Genomic DNA, 23,153 nt, shown 5'->3' on the forward strand with positions numbered 1-23,153 from the left:
GCTCTCCTAGGGACTCTTAGGAAAGTCGAGGTGGTGAAAAAGGACATTTGCCCCCTTGTGACTTGATTAGAAAGCATGAGAATCATTCTTTTAAATCCTTCCCTATGTGCCATCAGGAATTTGCATATTGAATACTTGTCTCGTGGTCTACATAGACTCACCTACAGGGGCAAGCGGCACTCACATGGCACCAAATGCCTTGCAAATCTCAATGTTACAAATGGCATTTTCTTCTGAAAGCTCAAGTGCTGTTTGTTTAGATTTTCAGCTGGGAAATTTTAACAATGAACACGTATCTGCTCCTAAACAACTCTTTAATGATCTTTTTTGGCTTCGATTTTCTCCTGTTGATCACTCTCTTTTGGGGGTATTTAATCTAAAGTAAGGGCTAGCGTTTATCTCAGCATGCCATCCTGCATGCTGAGCCAATTCATTGAATGATAATGAGCACAGGTCCACCCGCCAGAAGAGAAATGAAGTTCATCATGAGCCCACAGCGGAGTTCAAATGTTCTTAAATACTACCGTTAAGAGTGATCTCACAAAGCTACAAGTGGGTGCAGATTCAAATATTCACAGAACAGCAGGAACTTCTGTATGTATTCGTTTTACTTCAACCTCAACACAACCCAGAAAGCTGGTGCAATGATCCCTAATCTACAGGTATTAGGAAGAAGCAATGATCCCTAATCTACAGGTATTAGGAAGAAACAGATATTCCCCTAGATCTTCAGGCTGCACAGCCTGTATGTGTCAGAGCAGGACCCAAGGATGAGTGATTCTTCCACCCTACAGCTACCTGCATGGACCTCACCACTGTGATAATCAAACAAAACACTGACCTAATTCATCAAAATAAATGTGTGAGCCAGCTGAACCCAAAGGCACAGTCTTGTTTCTTGGTTAAGAGTGACATTCACCAAGTGTCTACAATGTTCTACTCCTGGCTGCTTTGCACGTGATGTCTGATTTTGTGAAAAATTTCATTTTCCCTGTTCTGCAGATGAAGAAACCAAGAAACTGTTCTGCAGGCTCAGAGACCAAGAACTCAGTGACTTGGCTGTAGGTGGGTGAGTTGGAGACCATCTCTGTAGACACACTGACCTGACTCTGAATCCCAGACAACTCACTTAGCATACCTAGGCCTCGGGCTCCTTATATGTAAGTGGGGATAATAAAACTAGCATATCCCTTGCACAGCTAAGTGAGGATTCATGAAGAAAGAACACAGAATGCTTCCAAATGCCTGATGCTTGGTAAATGCTAAGCAAACAATATATAATTATTGAGTCTGCTGGACATCCTGATAGAAAGGAAAACTTCAGGTTTTCAAAATTTTTAGTCCTGGAATGAATGTTTTATTCCATTGAAATCTTGAGGGGATCTCCAATATGTAAATGCAGAGCTGCTAGAATTGAGGTGGACAGAGGCCTGGAAACCCGTCTCCCCACTTCCCCTTCAGCCCTGAAAGGCCTCTGCAGAGCCCTCCCTCTCCACGTCCACCCCACCTGACCCCACTACCAGCTGCTCCAGAGCAAGCACCCTGAGTATGAGCACACAGATGCACATGTGCTCCTTGCCCCACACGCCCACCTCTACCCAGCACAGCCCTGGCCACAGCACATGCAGACAGGACCAGACACAGTACTGTGGGCATCAAATCCCTGCAAGTCTCTAGACTGCACCATGTTCTAGAAATAGATTAAAAACTGAGTGGCAGGCTGCCTATTGCCCCAACACTCTGCCACCTGTCCCTGTGGTTCTATAAGTTGTTGGGACAGAATTACCACCCCCTGGCAGCTGCAGTCCTCTCCCGGTGACAATCACACTGTACCAACCCAAGGACAAAGTCCCAAGCTGGTCCCTAGATCCTGCACTAAAAGGTACCACATGACACATCAAGTCACTCTACTGAGAAGATTCAGTAACTTTATAGTTCTCATAGAAAACATTCATGCATGGAAAACAGCACACTTAAATCACGAATGACTCCAAAGTGGCAGGAAGACAATTCCCTCCATTTTCTTGCAGTATTTATATTCATGAAGCAAAGCAAAACGTCATTAATTTTGACTGCTCATTTGGCTTTGATGATCATCTGATCCGGGCTGGGCTGAAGCTGATCACAGCATTATCTACTGAGAAAAGGTCTGCCAAATAAATTAACCCAGGCAAAATTCCTTGTTGACAAACATTGAGATGAAGGAGACCCAGAATAACTGTCATTCCCACGTCCCTGCAGAGAGCCCACAGAAAGCAGCCTTCAGCAACCTGCCCAGAGTGATCCCTCGACCCCCTCCAGTTTCATGGTCATCATTTATAATAATTTTTTAAAGGTTTGCCTGGTAAACTTGTAGCGGGGACAGCTGCTCTGGGATAGTGCCGTCACTCAGCCCCACTCACAGGCTGGGGCTAGGGGAAACCTGGGGCTGGGATTGGGCAAGGAGTGGAGGGCAGGATAGTCCGGCTTCTGCCTACAGGAAGGATGCATTCTGGGAGTCGGGGTGGCGGAGCCTCAACAATTATAATGAGAGATGTACAACCACTGTGACAAGGTGCAGAGGTATGGGAGGCTGAGAGAACAGCACATTATAACACGGGAGGAGCTATCTTAATTGAAGCATCAGCAAAACCTTCCCCAAGAAGGCAGCCTTTAAGCTGAGATTTGAAGGATGAGTAGGGCTGAACGAGGAAGGAGCATTTCCAGGCAGGGGCATCAGTGCAGGCCCCAAAGGGAAGGGTAGAATGTGCTGGAGGAAGTGATCTCTGCCCGCAAAGATTGAGTAGAGGGGAACAAGAATAGTAAGGTGGGCAGGGGTGGGCCGGGCAGGGCCTGGCAGGTGCCAGTGACAAGGAATTGTTTATTCCAAGAGCATGAGTAGCCCCTGAAGAGCTATGAGCAAGGGACTGCCAAGAATCTGGTTTGCATTCCTGAAAGATTCCTCCTGCTTCGAGGTGGAGTGGACACGGGAGAGGGCAGGTATGGATACAGGAGGCCCAGCCAGGCGTGATCACTGTCTTCCTCACTTTCAGCCTCGACACCCTCCACTGGGACAACACACCCACAGTGAATCCTGAGCTTGAAAACTTCAGTCAGGTGATGTGATTTTTTTTTTTTTTCCTAATATGCAGACTCCTATTTTACACAAAATAGGTGTTCTGGTTAAAAGAATGTTTTAATTACCCAACATCACTGTATTTTCTACACATAAATTACGACTCAAAGGATAATACAAATTACACCAATTAAAATTAACCAAACTTAAATTTAATACATCATTTATCACCATACCATACAACAGAAAAAGGTGTTAAAAAGATCTAAGTGTCTGCTGATTTAGAGTATAATCTGAAAAGGCTGTTAAAATTTTATAAGTCCCCAATAGCTGTGGTATTTAAGACCTCCTCTCACCTCCCAGCCCGCTACGGGCTCATTACCCAGATGGCTGCCTGAGCCTCCAGGCCCAGCCCTCCTCCCCCATTCATCCCACACTGCCAACATGTGGTTCTCAAACTGTATTTCTAATCACATCAGTCCCCTACTTGAAAAATGTCAGACTCTCCAATGTCCACAGAAATGAAGAAAAACTTCTCATCTTAGCACTCAGTCCTCACTATCTGACCCCAGCTTGCCCTTCCCAAGAGCTACACATACCCTGGGATAACTTGTTCCAAAAACACACCCTGCCCATGATCCCTCCCTACCCTGGCCTGGGCCTAGCACGGAAGGTGCCTCTCAGATGTCACCTCTTCCCAAGACCTTTCCCGAAACTCCCCCAGTGGCTGTGGTTTTCTCTTTAAATGTAACCCCCAATCATTCCACTTGTACTCATTTTCGACCCCACGATGTATCTGCCATGCTCTTGTAGACATTCTCTCTCTGCTAGATACAAAACTCCTTGAGGCGAGGGGCTGCTACATTCAGTGTGTGTGGAATTCAGCCAAATGTCACTTCTCCCTCTATTAACATTTGGCGGACGGTCAATTCCAACAACTGGCCCCTCCACCTTCCCAGCCCTTGGCTTCCTTACTTATCTCACCTTTTTTCTGGGAGTCAGAGGTGACTCTATCTAGGTGAACCTGTCCATCTAAGGTCTTGATCTCCCCTCATTTCCTCTCCTTTGGGACTTTCAACACTTATCACTTCTTAAAACTTCAATTTCTCCCCCTCCATCATTAAAGAAAGAGGAAAAAGCTGTTATACCCCTTGAAACTGCCACCATCTGTCTTTCCTACTCATTTGCTGCCGCATTTCTTAAGAGTTGTCTCCTGGCCCTCCTGCCTCCTAGTCATGCTCCCCACCCCCACTGTCCACCCACTCGCCACAAAAGTCAGGGCTTTTAAGCCTCCATTGAATAGAAACTACCACCAGCTGGAAAGCTGGTGATAGGCCGTAGGCGAGGAGGAGTTGGCTGCCGACAGAAGACAAGTATAACCAGGTGCACCGCCTTACACAACCTCAGTCCTTAGAATCAGAACTTGTCAAAATCACACAACCCTCGAGTTGGAGGGGACCTCAGTGGCCATTGCACCCTTCCTCTTCCTAACCCATACCTCCTGGCCACTCATCATCACAACATCCTTTCAAATCCCTGTCCAGCCAAGACAGAACCTCCCCAAGCCTTTCCCAGATCAAATCTCTCCCCCTCTGCTCCATTAGAAACCTAATTTTTTTTTTTTTTTTGAAACAGTCTCCCTGTGTCTCCCAGGCTGGAGTGCAGAGGTGCAATCTCGGCTCACTGCAACCTCCACCTCCTGGTTCAAGTGATTCTCATGTCTCAGCCTCCTGAGTAGCTGGGATTATAGGCATTTGCCACCACGCCCAGCTAATTTTTGTATTTGTAGTAGAGACGGGGTTTCACCATGTTGGCCAGGCTGGTCTTGAACTCCTGACCTCAGGTGATTCACCTGCCTCAGCCTCCCAAAGTGCCGAGATTATAGGTGTTAGCTACCATGCCCGTCCAGAAACCTAACTTTGCTCAGACCATTCTGCTTCCAGCGGTCTTTCTCCCATACTCACCAAGGGTCCTCCTCTTCCCACATCCAATAACGGAATTCATCATTCATCCACCCCTTCTCTCCAGTGACCTCGCCACTGTCCACCCTAACACCCTCTTGCTGGGCCTTGTCTCTTTCCCTGGCTCCCCCCCTGCAGTCACTTTAAATGCCTGCCCCCAGGATGCAATCCGAGGCTGCCACAGAGTCTCCCTGTGGGAGCACATCCATCCCCAGGGCTTCGACACACCCTGGTCCACAGGACTCCAGACCAGAAAACTAAGCTTTCCTAGACTTCACCTGTATGAGGAAAAGGCACAGAAGACCTGTATGCTCCCAGCCTGCTCCTTCCACCTGGCTCTGCTGGCCTGTGTGTCACTTCATTTGGCTGGTCCTGACTTGTATTCTTTATAACACTGATTACAATGATAATTTGTATAATTACAGCACTCTCCTGAGTTCTGTGAGTCATTCTAGCAAATTAGCAAACCTGAGGAGATTGTGGGAAACATCCAGTGTAGTCAGTTGATCAGAAGTGCAGGTGGCCTGGGACTCTCCAGCGCGTGGGGGGCATGTGAAATAAGGGCAGTCTTGTTGGAGACTGTGCCCTCTAACCTGTGGGGTCTGCACCAACTCCAGGTGGTGTCAGAATCTAATTGCAGTACACCTAGTTGTGTTTTTAGCAGAATAAAGTACCTACTGTGTGCCAGCAACTCAACTGGGAACTGCATATACTGTCATTAATGGAGCACCGTGTCCCACGGGCCACATCCTAGAATTAATAATAAGGCACATGCCAATGTTGAAAATTCCTAATAAATATCTGTTTTAAGTTCTCAACTTGAACAAATCTACACCTCCTGGTGAGGGTGAAGATTGATTTAAGCTCAGTTCTTTCAAGCAGTCGTTCTTACTGACACCTCCCTGGAAGTGGCTGAAGTGAGTCTGTCACTTGAAATTAACTGCCTCCCTTCAAAACAGAGCTAAAACCTTTGGTGGACTTCCTCACTTTTAGCCAATCCTCAGATTCCTGAGGTGTAAGAATTGAATTCTGAGGCACAGAACAGTAGAAACCCCCCAGGGCCTCACTGGCTTGGCAGAGCTATATGGCTACTGGTCAGCTTTGAAGCCAACTGCACACCACCAGTGGGGCTGCCTCCAGTGTTTTCTTTCCATCTTGTGGGCAGGCATATTAATTTTTTTAAGTAGTAATCATTATTTTAAAAAATATCCTCCAATGGAACAGAAATAATCTTAATTCTGCCATTATGGTTGTAAACATAAGATTATTTCAAGAACAATGTTTCATGTCACCTGAGAGCAAAATTTCAGTATCAGGCAAGTTCAACATGGCAATAAAATGACAGTGTAAGAACTACTAGAATGACATGAAACATCGCAGTTTCAATGTTTGATACTCAAATGAGTTTCCAGTGATGGGCTATGTGATGACCTCACAGAGATACAAACAGGACAGGCTCTGAGGGGCTTCTACTGAATGTGCTCAAACCCACAAATGTTCCATTTGGGCTCTTAATCCGCTTTGCAAATGCAAGACAGACCCAGGCTCCAATATGGTGCTCTCACTTGACTATCACAGAGCATTTTCAAAGTAGAGCTCCTCAGAGCTCAGATTGTGTGTGTGTGTGTGTGTGTGTGTGTGTGTGTGTGTACATGTAACTTGGAAATGAGGTGGGAAGCACCAATTGAACATGAAGGCCTAAAAGGTCTTTTCCCTCTTCCCAGAGAATAAATGAATTGTATGTGGAATCTAAACAAAGCCACAAATTTTTAAGTTAGAATTAGAACAAACTGCCTCAAAAACAGAATAACTATCCTATCGACCAAATTACTTACACTTAAAGACTTCCAAAAATATCAATAATTTACTGAAAGCTAAGATGCAAAGCAAGTTCATGTGTGAAGTGAAAAAAATTATTTAGTGTGACAAAAGTTGTCTCCTTAGAGACACTTTATTCCTATTTTAAAACCATGATAATGAATACAGAGCAAGGAAATAATTCATATCTTATTATGATGGGTGTTTTTAATATGCTTTGAAAATATACTGAAATGCTTAGAAAAATCCAAACATTGGTCTTGTCATGGAAAAAAGAATTCCCACAGAATTTGGCAGTCCTAGATAGGCCAGCCCTAATGCACAAACACATACATCTTTAATTTTAGAAATATCAATGTGACCCAAATTCTAGGGGAACCAATGCAAATATTCAACAAGTCTATTTGATACCTGATCATCTACATAAAGTTCCTAGATTAAAATCCAGGAAGAGTTACCCAAGTTGCCCTCACCTTGCATGATCCATGCAAGGAAATGGGCAGACATCCCACGTGTTAAGGAGATATGTCTGGGAAGTCCGTGTTGAAACAAGGCTCTGGGAAAATCTGAAGCAAAAGTCTGTCTGCGGCTGCTTGAGCAGTCACAATCCTCACTTAGAAGCCCAAGCTTGGGCTCTTACTTGAGAGTTCCAAGGTGGGAGGCCAGGAAAGGAGGGCTGCACTGGAGGGCCCTGGTGGTCATCTCCGGCAGCTGCCTCACTTTACACAAGAAAACTACATCCCAGAGAAGCAGAAGGACTTTCCCTAATGTTGTCTAAATTTTCTGCTCTAAGGTACACTTCTGGTCAGCAAGAAGCCCGATTTTCAAAAGATACACTATGCCCCATGTTTTCAGGGCCATGCACTCTGAGCGGGTCGAGGGCAGGCCTCTTTCGAGGGTCCTCAGGACCGTCCAAGATGGCTCAGCTGCCTCTCCTTCTGCCTCCAGGTGGAGACCTAGACTGAGATGCCAGCTCAGTTCTGGAGCTGCAAGAACTGAAGACCAAAGCAAACAGCTGGAGTAACAGAGGGATGGAGAGGTCAGGGGCCTGAGACATGGCCTGGCTGAGGGCTGGTGCTGTGGAGATGTGTGTTAAATGTTGAGTAAAAATCTCCTATTTGTCCTCTCCCACGATGCCATGTGACAAGACCCACCACACAGCTGTCCATGAGCGCTGTGCCCCTCAGATGACTCCTGGTATTCTTCGTCCTCTGGCTCCCTCAGATTTATAGTATTGTCAGAATAAAAGTGATGAATCCAGTTCAGAAGACAGCCTCCATCCCATCAGAATTCTGAACGCGGAGATCTTGACTACGGCTGGGAAATATGCACAGAAGATGGGGCAAGCACAGGCTGGCAGCCCGACAGAGCTGTGCTTCAGAGCTCAAGATTGATGAGATCAATTTTGAAGCCTTTCTGCCTTCATTTTTAAGAGTATAGATGTCACCGAATTTTTTTTTTTTTTGCCTCTGAGCCTCATGTTTCAAACTCCATCCTTCCACAGTTATCACAGGCATCATTTTCTATAACCCATAGAAAATGAGTTGTTTTATGATAAAGTAGCATTTTAGAACGTGTGGTCCTACTGCAGGGCTAATTCAATTCAGTTGGTTGTTCAGGGAATAAAAACTTTAAGACAGTTATACTCAATAAATTCTTGAAATACCAGAAATCTAAGTTTATATTTTAGTATTAAATATATCAATAAAGCACTAAACCTATCAATAAGCATTAAAATGACTTGTCAATTTTTATATCATTGTTAAATTTATCAATAAACATGATATATTTTAATATATCAGTCTTCTAGAAAAGGGAGTCAAAAGGTTCCAGCTAACAGACCCCTGGAAGGCAGGAGCCAGGTCTAGCTCTCACCACCGAATCCCCAGTGGCCAACCCAGTAGCTGCCATGTAGACGCTTGTGGGATAAAGGCACAGACAGGGGACAAAATGGAACAGAAAGGGCATTTTCTAATCACCCTCCAAATCAATTTCCACTTGATCTAACCAAAGAGCCTATTTTGAAGGTTTAAATATTTCATCTCCTGAATATGATATGATGTAGGGTTTTATCCAAATTTGTCTTTTAAAGCTTCCTTCATCTAGTGCATCGTTATAAACAAGAGCATAAGAACAGTCCAGCAGGAACAAATGTCATCACCCACACTGCTCACCTGCCATGTCGATGGCAAAAGGCCTGTCTGCTCTCCAGCCGGTGTACCAGCCAACAACTTTGCCGTTTTCCACCAGCGGACGTTCGTAGCGCCGCCCACCAACCAGGCCCACAGGCCAGACGGAGACCTTGCGGGTGGTTCGCATCTATAAAAAGGGAAAAGACATGTGTTTTAAGTTTCCTTAGGAAAAAGAGGGAGGAAATGAATGTGATCTATGTAGAAGAAGTAGGGCTGGTAGTGGTGTAAGATTTCAAAAGCTGAAGGTTTCAAAACAGAATCCTTCTGCTGCTAGAGTATGGCCCCCATCTGTTAGGCTGGCTGCTGTGCCATGATCTCTACTCGGTCATAAATTGGGCTAGGGCTCAAGGTTTAGGAGAAATAAAATGGTTGTCAATATCTGGACATCGCTGATTTGAAGCTAAGTTGCAACTATCAGATATTTTCCTATTTGTTTCAAAGTTGAATCTTTAAACAATACTTCTATCTTCCGAGGTGAGAAAGTTTAATTCCCCTTTAGGAAACTTCATTACTCAGGAAGAACAAAAACTTCAGAGAAGTCACAGGAGCGTCCTTTCTCTGACTTTTCTATTGCTATACATACACAGAATTCTTGGCTGGGGACATTAATAATGGGATCCAGATACAGACCTGAACCTGGCTTCTTCCAGAGTGATAAAAAGAAACACATACCCTAAACATTTGCCTGCCTTTTAAGGGCAATTGGGCCAAACTAGAGACCGTTGGAATCGCTTGTCCTTGTTACACACAGTGGAATCCTGGTTAAACATGACGCTCAACTGAAAGTTACTAGCTGGATTTCTTTAAGGGGAAAGAGATGCCCACAAGAAAGCTTGCTGATATTAGGCAGCACTGTAGGAGAAAATCGCTACCACCACCTTTTTCCAGGGCTCATGCTGAACAGCTCAAAAGGCATCTTAGCATAAACTAGAAAAAGGTGCCCCTTTCTCGGGCAGACACACCCCATGCTGGAGCCCATAGCTTGGCAAAGTACAAGCTGGACTTAAGCTCCACGCACCCTCACAGCTGGGTGTGCCTTGGACGAGGTATAACCTGCACAACTGCATGAGGTGGTCTTGTTGTTGAGGTAATTATAATTTCAACAGCAGTGCTTTATCTTTTATTTGCTATAGAACTGAACTGGGTCATAATCAGTTAACCAGTGGTTAAATAATGAACATCAACCAAGGAATTTTTTATGAAAGGAAAAAAATGATATACCTTGGAAAGATTTTCAAATACAATAGAAATGAAAGTCACAATATTAAAGAGTAAAAATAATTAGAAGCTCCCATTAGCCAAGCTTCCTGGTTTTACTTATTATTATCCTACCTTGTTCCAAAAAGGGGATTTTTTTTTTTTTTTTTTTTTTTTTTTGGAGTCAGAGTCTCACTCTGTTGCCCAGGCTGGAGTGCAGTGGTGTGATCTTGGCTCACTGCAATCTCTGCCTCCCGGGTTCAAGTAATTCTCCTGCCTCAGCCTCCTGAGTAGCTCGATTACAGCCACCCACCAACACTCCTGGCTAATTCCAAAGAGGGGATTTAAGGGTATGAAGCATTCCAGGTAATGAGGTTCTCACTGCATTGGTCTGCCTCAAATCTAAAGTTACTATTTTTTATAATCTCTTATCATTTTTTCAATAAATGAACTGCAACTGTCTTGTGCTAACTCACACTAACTTTTACAACTTTTTTTTTTTTTAACAAGCTGAGGTATAAGTGACTGCAGAAAAGTGTTAACAAGCCTGAGACTTTATCTAAAGCCTTATCTTTAGAAAGGTCTGCTTGCAAGGCTTGCCCTTGGCTAGTGTCCGGGAACACAGCTTTTGAAACATTTCCTACCCTTATAAGGTTATTTTATCTGTCTGGGGCACTGAACAACTGCTTTCCTTTCAGGAATATGAAATATTGGTGGGCAAGAGTGCCTATGTGACAAGCCCTGAACAAAAACCCTGAACTCTTGAGTCTTAAGTGGGTTTCCCTGGGTATAATCATTGTACGCCTGTGACTACATTTTCACTACTGGAGAGGTGGTATGCTGTGTGTGATCTCAGAGGGAGGGAGGGAACACAGAAAACCCACACATGGATTCCTCTGGACCCTGCCTGATGTCATTTCCCCTTACTGATCCACCTGTGTATCCTTCTACGTCAGTGTAATAAGTCTTAGCCCTAAGAACGACTATATGCTGAGTGCTACAGGTCCTAGTAAACCACCAAACAGGGTTGTCTTGGGATCCCTGAAATACTAATATAGAATAAAATGCGCTTTTTAAAGTCTAAAATTAGACACATTTTGACATATGTATATAGCCATGAAGCCATCACCACAATGAATATAATTAACACACCCAGCACCCCCAAAAATTTCCTTGTGCTTTTAATCCATTTCTCCAATCCCTTTTTATATCACCCATCGCCAGGAAACCCCAATCTCCTTTCTATAACTATACATTAGTTTGCATCCTCTAGAATTTTGTATGAATGTAATAATTCAGCATGTGGGGTGTATGTGAATGTGTGTATGTGTAAATATAGCTTCTTTCATTTGGCATAGTTATAAAGAGATTCATCTACTTGTAATGTACATTAATAGTTCCCTCCTTTATTTTACTGGATGGTATTCTATTGCGTAGTTCATACCACAGTTTACACATTCACCTGCTGAGGGACATTTGGGTTGTTTCAAGCTTTTGGCTATTACAGATGAAGCTGCTACAAACTAAATACGTGTTTACAAGTTTATGCGAATTTCTTTCTCTTTTTTTTAAGATAAATACATAGAAGTGGAATGGCTGGATCATGCACTAGGTATACATTTAACTTTTTCAGAAACTGTCAGATTATTTTCCAAAGTGCTTCTGCCATTTTACATTCTCATCAGCAGTGTAAGAGACGTCTAGTTCCTCCACATCCTCACCAACACTTGGTATTGTCGATCTTCAATTTCAGTAATTCTAATACATACTACTAATAGTGGTATCCCATTATAGTTTTAATTTGCATTATTTTAATGACTAATATGCTTACTGCTATCTGTATCTCTTCCTTGGCAAAAAGTCAGTTCAAATCTTTCGCACATTCAAAAAAAAAAAGGTTTTCTTACTATTGACTTTTGAGAGTTATTTATATATTCTGCACACAAATCTTTTATATGATGTATAAATATTTTCTCCCACTCCGTGGCTCATCTTTTCATTCTTATAACAGTGTCTTTTGAAAAACAGAAGTTTTAATCTTAATGAAGTCCAATTCATCTATTTGTTATTTTATGGATCATGCTTTTGATGTTCTACTTAAAATATTTTTGTGGCTCTGCACGGTGGCTCATGCCTGTAATTCCAGCACACTTTGGGAGGTCGAGGTGGGCGGATCACTTGAGGTCAGGAGTTCGAGACCAGCCTGGCCAACATGGTGAAACCCCGTCTCTACTAAAAATACAAAAATTAGCCAGGTGTGGTGGGGAACACCTGTAACAACAGCTATTCAGGAGGGTGAGGCATGAGAACTGCTTGAAAAAAAAAAAAATATATATATATATATATATTTGCCTAATTCAAGGTTACAAGGGTTTTCTCCTCCTTTCTACAAGTATTATAGTTTTAGGTAATATATTTAGACTATGATCCATTTTCAGTTAATTTTTATATATGGTATGAGGAACTGATTGAAGTTCTTTTCTTTTTTTGTATATGGATAACTAATTGTTCCAACTATATCTAATTGTCCTGGAACAACTGAGCCGCCATTACAACTTTTTCAAAAATCAGCTATGCATATATGTATGGGTTTATTTCTGGATGCTCTAATCTGGTCCATTGGTCTCTTCAGTGATCTTAATACCAATGCCACAATATCCTGATTTACCATAGCTTTATAATAAGTCTTATAATCAGATAGTATTACTCCTCCAACTTTATCCTTCATTTTCAAGGTTGTTTTGACTGTTATAGATCCTTTTTATTTCCACATGAATTTCAGAGTCAGTTGGTCAATTTCAGCAAATTCCGATAGAGATTGCATTGAATCTATATATTAATTTGGTGACATCTTAACAATATTGAGTTTTCTAGCCCATAAACATGATCTCTCTACATTTATTTAGGTCTTTAATTTCTCCCAGCAATGTTTTGATGATTTAATTCTTGAATCAATATTAACATTTAATGCTTTTGTATCCTAGATCTTCCCCATAGGTGGGACAAAAACCCAGGAAATTTACTAAAATTTTCATAAAAATATAGTCCCCCCCACCTCCCCAACTCACTCCAGCTTCAGACTCCTCTTTCCTGACATACTCAGAAAGTAAAAATATTTCAAATTTTTGGCCTTAGATGTTAAACATGGCAAACACAGAGAAACCAGGTTAAACCTAATACATACTTTTAAAAAATTAACAGAATGGCTTTATATATAAGGCAATAACAATAGTACTGTGGGTTTTTGGGTAAGATAATCTTCTTAAAATGGCCATGATTTTTCAGCTCCTAAACTGCTTTTGCCCAGAACGCTAAATATTCAAATCTGTGAAAAACTGGTGGGCAGACCCCATCTGACACCTCTGTGCTCCCTTAAGAATGTATAAGATTGTGCCCTGCACACAGCAGGTATTAAACAACTCTTGGCAAGTGTTTAAATACTAATTAGTCATTTACATATGGGCCCATTAGCCAGGTGTGGTTGGTGGTGTGTGCCTGTAGTTCCAGCTACTTGGGAGGCTGAGGCGGGAGGATTGCTTGAGCCCGGGAAGTAGAGGTTGCAGTGAGATGTGATTGCACCACTGCACTCTGGCCTGGACAATGAAGCAAGACCCTGGCTCAAAATAAATAAATAAATAAATAAATAAATAAATAGGAATGAAAAACAAATAGAAATAAAAAATAAATGTGGGCCCACATGTAACAAGAAATCACTATGTGTCTGTGCTGTGCAAGAGACATGCTCACAATAAAAAAGGGAGACAGGTAATAAATGAACAGAAGGCAAAAGACATTTTTAAAAAAGGAAAAGAGAAATTGCCATTAAAGGGAATTAAAAAGAATAATAAACTATACCTGTGGGACCACTAGAACAATTAAATATGGCCACAGAAATTCAGCATGTTTTGCATTAGACTTTTCATTTAAGCTGGGTCATGAAAGGTATATAGGGTTTTGTCCACAGAATACAGAATGGCCTCAGGTTCTAGGTAACCAGATGAATCAAAGAAGCAAAACTTTGCATGCATTCCTGTGCCAATTTCATGCTAGAAAATGTAGGTTTTGCTTAGCACACTCCAAATTACTGAGAGCAGCTCAGAGCTAACATTTGTTCATGCTTTATTTTTCTAGAGGCTGGGTGTTAAAGGTGAGGCAATGATTATTTAAATGCAGATGACGTGGCGGGATGATGTTTCCAGGTATGCTACATTTTAAAAAGTTTGTCATATAATTAGTTTAAAAACTCAAACAGATCCAGATGCCCTCACCATCTATGCCCTGCTGAAATTCCATGCAGAATGCTTCATCACAGAATTAGCCCCTCTATCCTCGACCACTATACTATATAGAGTGTGCCAGACATTTCAAAGGAAAACGGCACAGCTATTTACAGAACTTCTTCATTTCACTCCTGGGATCTGTCCTTTGTTCTGTGTCATTTTCACTCAATCTATGCTCTTTGAGGATTCCTTAACAGCCCTGTTATTTTCTGAGGGGTAGGGGGAATGTAACAACAACAGTGACTACTAAAAGTATCTTCATGTAACTAAAATATTCTCAGTATTTAAAAGCTTTGCTACTTTCTCAACATGAAATAGCAGTTACATAACAAACACAATCTCAGGTGTCTGGTGTGAACTCCAATCTAAAACAGAGCATTAAAGCAATGGATATTATGATAAAGGGGCAGCAATTCATGTATTTATAGGAGTTATAATATTACAAACAGTTCTGGCCCCCAAAAGCACTCTCTTCCCATTTATTCAATGCCAAAGTCATATTCTGTGGTTTATTCCTCCTGTGATAACCTCCAGCTAAATGGACAGGGCTTGCATAGCAATGTTAATCAACCAAACTCACAGCCAGAGTAATCTCCATAGACCCAATGGCTACAAAGGACACACAAGATATATTTGGTGCATGTGCACACTCCTCCAGGCTGAATGCCATTTAAACTATTCCAGGGTAGTGGTGCTTGTTCATCACGTTGTCATCTTCTCCAGGAAAGGAGGGAGGCAGGTGACTACCATGCACTCCAGTCTGGTGGCCCTTAACAACAACCGGCTCTTTTTTTTTTTTTTGAGTCAGGGTCTCCTCTGTCACCCAGGCTGGAAGTACTCACTGCAGCCCCCAACTCCTGGGATCAAGTGATCCTCCCACCTCAGCCTTCTGAGTAGCTAAGATTACAGGCATGCCATGCCAGGACAGCTTTTTAAATTTTCTATAGAGTTGGGGTCTCACTATGTTGCCCTGGCTGGCAGCTCCTGTTTCTTTAGCCAGCTTTTCTTTCTGCAGCTTTCTGCTACGTTCTTTTCGACCCTCCTTGGGAGATGGCTAACAGCCAGCTCCAGGGACTGGAACACTCAGAAGATCACATTCAGGCAATCATCAGAATGCCCTTAGAGCAAAACAGAAAAAGTTAAATGTCTTTAGCTTCCTTGAAGACATGCCACTAGTTAAAATCTTGTTTTATTTTTTCCAAAGGGAAATGAATAAAGTTATCGATCTTCTGAAATTTAAAATGCTATAGGCAACTTCAAGAAAGTGGAGTTACAATAAAAAATGTGACACTCTGTATCCTGTTTTTTTAAACTAACAATTTCAGTAGCAAAAAGTAAACGAAACCCATCAAATCCAATGGGACCCATGAACTAAGAACACAAAGGAAAGGGCAGTGCAAATATGATGAAGATTTGAACACAGAGGTGATTTGGAAGCAAGGATTCTTTCCAATTTTATTGTCCCTAAACGTGATTTTCCAAAACAAAACGATATTTATATGATCAAATACACCTATAACTTTCCTTTGGAACAAGCTTGAAAATGAACATAAAGTCTGCTTTTCTTCCTCTTTATTGCATCCCCCTCCTAATGATTTCACCATCCATCTTGGCTAGATGATTAAGGGTAACATCGATAGTCATAAATCGTGTTGATAGTATGTACCCTTGCTATGATGTGATGGGAATGACACTTAACCTCTGTGGCATTTTCTAATGCCATTCTCTTATAAAAGAAACCAGGGATTCTTAGAGAAATGGCTGATTCTAGGACTGGGATGGGAAATACACAAGATAAGCCTGGAGGAGCCAGAAAGGAAAGAAGCATTCAAATAAGACAAAAAACCGAACAAACCCACATTGGTGTGTGTGTCAAAGGGACATAGCCAATTGAAACAGCTCCTAGTGGACAAAGCTGGAATAATTTGAGCAACAAAATAAATAATGGTGAATTTGTGTACATTTGACATGATGTTATGAAAGTGGCGTAGAGTGGCTGTGCCCCTCTCAGCAGTGCCAGCCCTCCCCCGTTTGCCACAGTGTCCCCATCATTCCCCACTGCAGTCTCAATGCTGAGTCTGCATGCCAATCACCATTCATTAACCAGCTGATGCTGTCATGGGAGATACTGTATTCCTCTCTTTGAAGTGGGAAACTGAAAAACAGATCAAATGGGCCACGCATTTCAAAAATGTATGGAGGCAGTATTGTTCTATGTATGAAAACAGGGAATGTTCCTAAATATTTAGTGTGAAAAGTATGTGTATAAAGATATCATTAGAAATAAACCATAATAAGAACCATGAGACATGTGAGAAAGGGACATGACTCAAAACATTAATAAATGAAAATGAACCACGTTGAAATTTTAGCCCGTTAGATTTTAATATAAATAAAGTAATACTGCTTATACAAGAACAGCTTCACTTAATTATGTTACTTGCTTTAGGTCATATGTATTTGTGAATTCTGGTATGGACTGTCTAGGAGGGGCCTGACTGGGCTCTGCTTATTATAAAGCTATATAAATCAAGACAATGTGGCATTAGTGTAAGGATAAATACATAGATAAATGGAAGAGACTAGAGAATTTAGAAATAGTTCCTCCTACATATAGTCAGTCGATTTCTGGCTAAGATGCCAAGGCAGTTCAATGGGGGAAAAGGACAGTCTCTTCAGCAATCAGGGCTGGAATGAATGGACATCCATGCTAAAAAAAAAAAGTAGATGTGGAGAAAGAGGGACCCTTGTACATGGTTGGTAGAAATGTAAATTGGCATAGCCATTGTAGAGAACAGTATGGAGGCTCTTCAAAATATTAAAAATAGAGCTACCAAATGATGCAGCAATTCCATTATTGAACATATATATCCAAAGGATATGAAATCAGTATGTCAAAGAGAATGCCCATGTTTATTGCAGCACTATTCACAATAGCCAAGATACAAAATCAACCTAAGTGCCTATCAACAGATGAATGGATTAAGAAAATGGGATATATATATATATATATATACACACACACACACACACACACACACACATATATATATATACACATAAACACAATAGGGTACTATTCTGCCTTAGAAAAGAAGGAAATCCTGTAATTTGCAACAACATAAAAAAACTGGGAAGACATTATGCTAAGTAAAATTCACCAGGCTAAGAAACACAAATACCAATGGTCTCACTGATAAATGGAATCTTAAAAAGTCAAACTCATAGAAACAGAAAGTAAAATGGTGGTATCAGAGGTTGGACAGGGAGTGAGGGGTGGCAGGGGGGCTGGTGGTCAAAGGACAAATTTTTACTTAGAAGGAATAAGTTCAAGAGATCTATTGTATATCATGGTGACTATAGTTAATATATTATATAGTTAAAAATTGCTGAGACAGATTTTTAAGTGTTCTTATCACAAAAAAATGATAACCATGTGAGGTAATATGTATTCCACAATGTATACATGTATCAAATCATCATGTTATACAATATAAATATATACCATTTTTATTAACTAAAAAATTAAAAAAGAAAGAAAAAGAACAACACCTATATCTCACAAAATTCATAAAAATTAAATTAAAATGGGACCATGAACCCAAACACAAAAGCTAAAGTTTTTAAGTTTACAAACTTCTAGAAGAAAATACAGGAGAAAATCTTTGAGGTCTTAGGGTAGGCAAAACTTCCTTAAACACGACATAAATAATAGGAACCTTAAATAAATCTATAAATTGGACTTCATCAAAATTAAAATTTTCTACTCTCCAAAAGATACTATTAGGAAAATTTTTAAAGTAATCTGTAGACTGGGAGAACATATCCTAATACATACATCTGACAAAACACTAGTATTCAGAATGCATAGAACTTCATAGCTCAAGAAAAAAGACAACCCAATTAAAAAAGTCAGTGAAAGATATGAATGGACATTTCATCAAGATATATGAATGACCAATTATCACACAAAAAGATGCTCTGTGTCATCACCCATTACAGAAATGGAAATTAAAACCACAATAAAATTAAAATTTCAGAAATTAAACAAAATTAAAAAACAGAAATTAAAGCCACTACTGACCCACCAGAATGGCTAAAATGAAAAGATTGGCAATACCAAGAGCTGATGACAATGTGGAATAATTAGGTCTCATATACATTCTTGGTGGTAGTAAAAAATGGTAACAACTACTTGGGAAAAAAAATTGGTAGTTTCCTATAAAGTTAAAAAACATGACACAGCAATTCCTTTCCTAGGTATTTACTGCAGAGAAATGAAAGCTCATGTCCATACAAAACCTTGTGCCTGAATGTTCAAACAGTTTCACTCATAATATCCATAAGCTGGAAATGGTCCAAATGTTCATCAACTTGTAAATAGATAAACAAATAGATAAGCAAAACATACATACAATGGACTGCTATTCAGTAAGAGACAGTAATGAATAATTGGTATGCATAATACCATGTACCAATTTCCAAAACATAATGCTGAGTAAAAGTAGCCAGAGAAAAGGCCTCATATAGTGTTATTCCACTTACATGAAATTCTAGAATAGGTACACTAATCTACAGTGACACAAAGCAGGTCAGAGGCTGAAAGAGGGCTGACTGCAAAAGGTCATAGGTGACAGGGTGACAGTTCAGGGTATATGAATTTGCTAACATGAAGCAAACTCAGCACTTCAAATGAGTACACTTTCGTTTAGGTAAACTATACCTCAAGAAAGGTAATTCAAAATAAAAACAAAATAATTAGGTGGTTTCAATATGAACTCACGATTAAAGAGCCTAGAAAAATTAACACCCCAGTAGCAGTAAAACACAAACACCCAACTCTTGGTTTGTAAATATTATTTTCCACTAAAGGGAAACAGGTCTCCTTGGAGAAGAGGCTGATTTCAGGTCTGACACACGTCCAGAGTACTGAAAGTACGAGATAAGCCTAAGATATCTTGGGCCAAAAACGCCAAGAAGTGCTCAAAGCTAAACAAGGACAAGTTCAATGAAGACAGAAGCTGGTCTGAAGGGTTCCTGGCCAATCTGTGAACGATTTTAAATATCAGAAAGAATGACATCGATGGATTAAAACACATGGTGAGAAAAACTGACCCATAAGTCTATAATTACAGGGGGTGTGTGTAGCTATTCTTGGGTAAAAGTTATTGGAAAACAAAATATTCTCATTGTCTCAAGGTATCACCCCTGGGGTTACTTGTTAATTACAGGAGGAAAATGTGCCTTCACAATAAGAGGTATGGCAGTCACTCCCTTGGCCAAGTGGTCAAGTTTGGCATCACCATAAAAAAAAATGACCTGGCAATATATGCTGCTTCATTGGATGCAAAGAGGAAGACAATATAACCTATGTGGTGTCCTTGACAAAGAGGTTCAGACTAAATATAGTTATCAGGAAACAAATAAAGGTTGGGGAAACTAAACTGCCAAATGCAATTTTGTCTTTGTGTGAACTTATCATAGCCAAATCTATGAGCTATTTAAATTTCTATTTTCCCCAAGGTTTCCAGGAAAGCAGCAACTGCTGTAGAATAGAACCACAGCTAGGAGTATAATTATTGTGTATAGTGGTGTAATTATGATGATGCTGCTGAGGAAACGCAAGAGTTACTGCTTTGGAAGTCCCCCTAACCACAGGAGCCACCAATGTTAAAATGCATTCCTTCTGGAAAAGTCAAATGAGCTTTGTCTATTTCACTATCCCTTGCATAGATCTGTATACTTCAGTAAAATGTGATGTTTATTGAAAATACAAATATAATTGCCAATGACTATGTTAATCTTTATCTGGATATCAAAAGGAAAACTTAATACAAAATTAAATTATACTTAGGTTTGCACAAAACTGCTGCAGATTAGCATGTCTAATGTACTCCGATAACCTACGTTTTTGCCCCTTTTAAAATTGGATTATTTGCTACATATATTCCCCAAAATGGGTTTCAAGGGTCCCGAGTTCTTTAATGGCAGACAGCATGTTGCTCGCCTCTGTGGCAGTGTGTCCAACAGGTAACAGAAGGTTTGTGTAGCTGTATAGTCCACTTGGCATGGGGATCTGCAGCTTTTTGTAACATAGGATAGCTGGTATCATTATCCACTAGTCTTTTCATGTAATAGGCAAACTCAGATACAAAGGAGCTACTCTACATCTCAAAAAAGGAATAAATTAACATAACTGACTTGAAAGCATAATAATACTTTTTCTTCTTAAAAAAATATGGTCCCGGAATGTCTCCTGGCACTGTGTGTGTGTGTGTGTGTATGTGTGTGTGTGTGCAGTGTGTGTAGAGAGAGAGGGACTGGGGCATGTATTGGATTGTTCAACTATTTATCTTCACTACATAAAAGGGAGCTGAGTTCACTACAGGAATGGTTGCCTTGGCCACACTCAATCTATTTTCCCAAATGAGTTCTAACCCAAAGACCTCTGCTCTAGTTTACTTAATACCATGATAATGTGAGGAAATTTAAACTGCTTCATTTCTCTTTCTTAATTTTTCCACACGAAAACCAACGATCTATCTCCTATTCTTCTCACGGAGAATGGGGGAAAAGAAGTCTCTAAAGCACTTAGACATTCTTAAAAGATGTTATTAACCATGCAGTTTCAAAATTAGGTACTATTCCAGCACATTACAGTGATCGTACACCCCTATACTCTACCACGACCACACACATACCTAGAGCATTCTCTCATAGCAATTTTTTTTTAAGACAGAGTCTCACTCTGTCACCCAGACTGGAGTTCAGTGGCATGATCACAGCTCACTGCAAGCTTGACCTCCTCCTGGGCTCAAGCAATCCTCCTGCCTCAGCCTCCCAGCTAGCTGGGGACTGCAGGCGTGCACCACCACTCTCAGCTAATTTTTTATTTTTTGTAGATACAGGGCTTTACTAGATTTCCCAGGCTGGTCTCAAACTCCTGGGCTCAAGCAATCCTCCTGCCTTGGCCACCTAAAGTGCTGATTATAGGCATGAGCCACTGCACCCAGCCTTATAGCAAGTTTTGAGAAAAGCACACACTCCTACTTTTTCCTCATGCAAGGAAATGTAACCTCTCTTTTCACAGAAATGAAATACAGTATTCTTTGCTTTCTTATTCTTTAATCCGATCCCCTGCTCCACTTAAGATCCTTCCACCTCTGGGTTTCTCAGTCTCTAATTAACATCTAATACTGCTTGAAAAAAGAATTTAAGGCAATTACACAGACACATAGATAAAAGAAAACTGAACAAAGGTGAGTGAAAAATCAATGACAATCCTATACACAAGCAACTATCATGGAAACAGCATTACAATAGCAAAAGAAAATATGCAATGCTAGGCATCAACTTACTGAGAATGGTGCAGGAACATGATGAAAACCACAAACTTTACCATGAAACCTCAGCGAGTCCAGGGATGGGCTATAGCAGATACTGTTCGTTGCCTACTCAACATCTACTTTCTTCTCTTCCTTATTGGCTAAGCTTCATTTTGGTTCAAATGGTAACCAGCCCTTCCCCCACATGACTGCCAAGAGGGTGATGGTCTCTCAATGCCAGGGATAAATCTTGAGTTGTCAGTGATTAGTTTGGGCCTGGCAGTCCTGGCCATCAGAGGAAGTGTGCTGGGCTGCTTCTGGGAAAAGTGCCCTCACTCCTAAGGATGGTCCCTTTCTGTCCCAGCACATTGCCATGTCTGGTTGTGATGGCTGAACTACAGCAGCCACCTTGCAACCAGGAAGAGAACCAGCCTGAAGACAAAGCTGACATTGTGAGGACGGCAGGGTGGAGAGCATTGGAAAGACTTCAGGACGGTGATGACACCACTGAGTCACTAAGTCATCCATCCCTAAAACCTGCTGTATATCTGGACTTCCTGTTATGGAATGTGGCTTCTTGCTCAACACTTTTCCTCTTCCTAAGTTCACAGGAAGACTCCATGTTTCTGCATCCTTTGCAGTTAGGATGGGGTCATATGACTGATGACGGATTTATGCACACTGGAGCATGGGCAAAATTCATATAAGTCAATTTCCAGCCTGGTCCTTAAAAACAATCTATGTGATCCACCAGTCCTCTTCCCTTGCAGGGGTGACTTTACAAGTCATGTGTTGCTTATAAAGCGACATATCTGAGTCACTAACTGCCCAGGAGAGTCACCAACCCCTGGCAAACTTTGTGAGACCAAGCAATAAGCTTTTACTGTATCAAGCCTCTCAGTAGTCAGGGTTTGCCTCTGCAGCTGCCAATATTTAGTTATTCTGCTAATATAGTGAGATAATATATGTGCTTAGCGTTGAAGCCAGTTTGAGTTGGGGTTTTTGTCACCTGTACCCAAAAGCTTCCTATTTGGCACACTTTCCATTCTGTTGGACCAGAAGTTTCAACAATATACAAGATTCTTCATATTAATGCCCAAACCTTGCTGACAATATCTCCCTGGCATGTAGCTATTCTGGGCTGTTGGTTTGGTGCAAGGCCATAAAAACTTTAACCACAGTATCAGGGAGAAGTGCAGCATGATTTTACGTAAATAAACCTAAGGCATCTAACAAAGATGAGTGCCTAAATGGAAGAGAGTCAGGGGCACCAAGGACATTGCCTCCAGGGAGTTAGTGCTAGGAGCTATAACTAATCATCTCTG

The 23,153-nt window shown here is 41.1% G+C and overlaps 1 protein-coding gene and 1 long non-coding RNA gene across 4 annotated transcripts in view; one reads left to right on the forward strand and one right to left on the reverse strand.

Annotated features, from left to right (window-relative positions):
* Nucleotides 1-23,153, reverse strand: part of B3GAT2 (beta-1,3-glucuronyltransferase 2) — a 100,382-nt gene that overhangs the window by 28,441 nt on the left and 48,788 nt on the right. For both annotated transcript variants that reach the window (NM_080742.3, XM_047418209.1), the window contains exon 2: nucleotides 9,009-9,153. In NM_080742.3, coding sequence (NP_542780.1) covers nucleotides 9,009-9,153 — 145 coding nt within the window. The remainder of the gene's footprint in view (nucleotides 1-9,008; nucleotides 9,154-23,153) is intronic.
* LOC105377850 (uncharacterized) lies at nucleotides 1,023-20,111 on the forward strand. 2 transcript variants are annotated; one of them, XR_001744196.2, is made up of 5 exons: nucleotides 1,023-1,065; nucleotides 3,033-3,096; nucleotides 14,355-14,422; nucleotides 19,376-19,603; nucleotides 20,027-20,111. It is a non-coding gene; the product is annotated as an uncharacterized LOC105377850 (long non-coding RNA). The 2 variants fall into 2 exon arrangements; XR_942676.3 differs by lacking the exons at nucleotides 1,023-1,065; nucleotides 3,033-3,096 and adding an exon at nucleotides 9,712-10,113.

Source organism: Homo sapiens, chromosome 6 (genome assembly GCF_000001405.40).
Source record: "Homo sapiens chromosome 6, GRCh38.p14 Primary Assembly".
In the NCBI taxonomy this organism is placed as follows: Eukaryota; Metazoa; Chordata; class Mammalia; order Primates; family Hominidae; genus Homo; species Homo sapiens.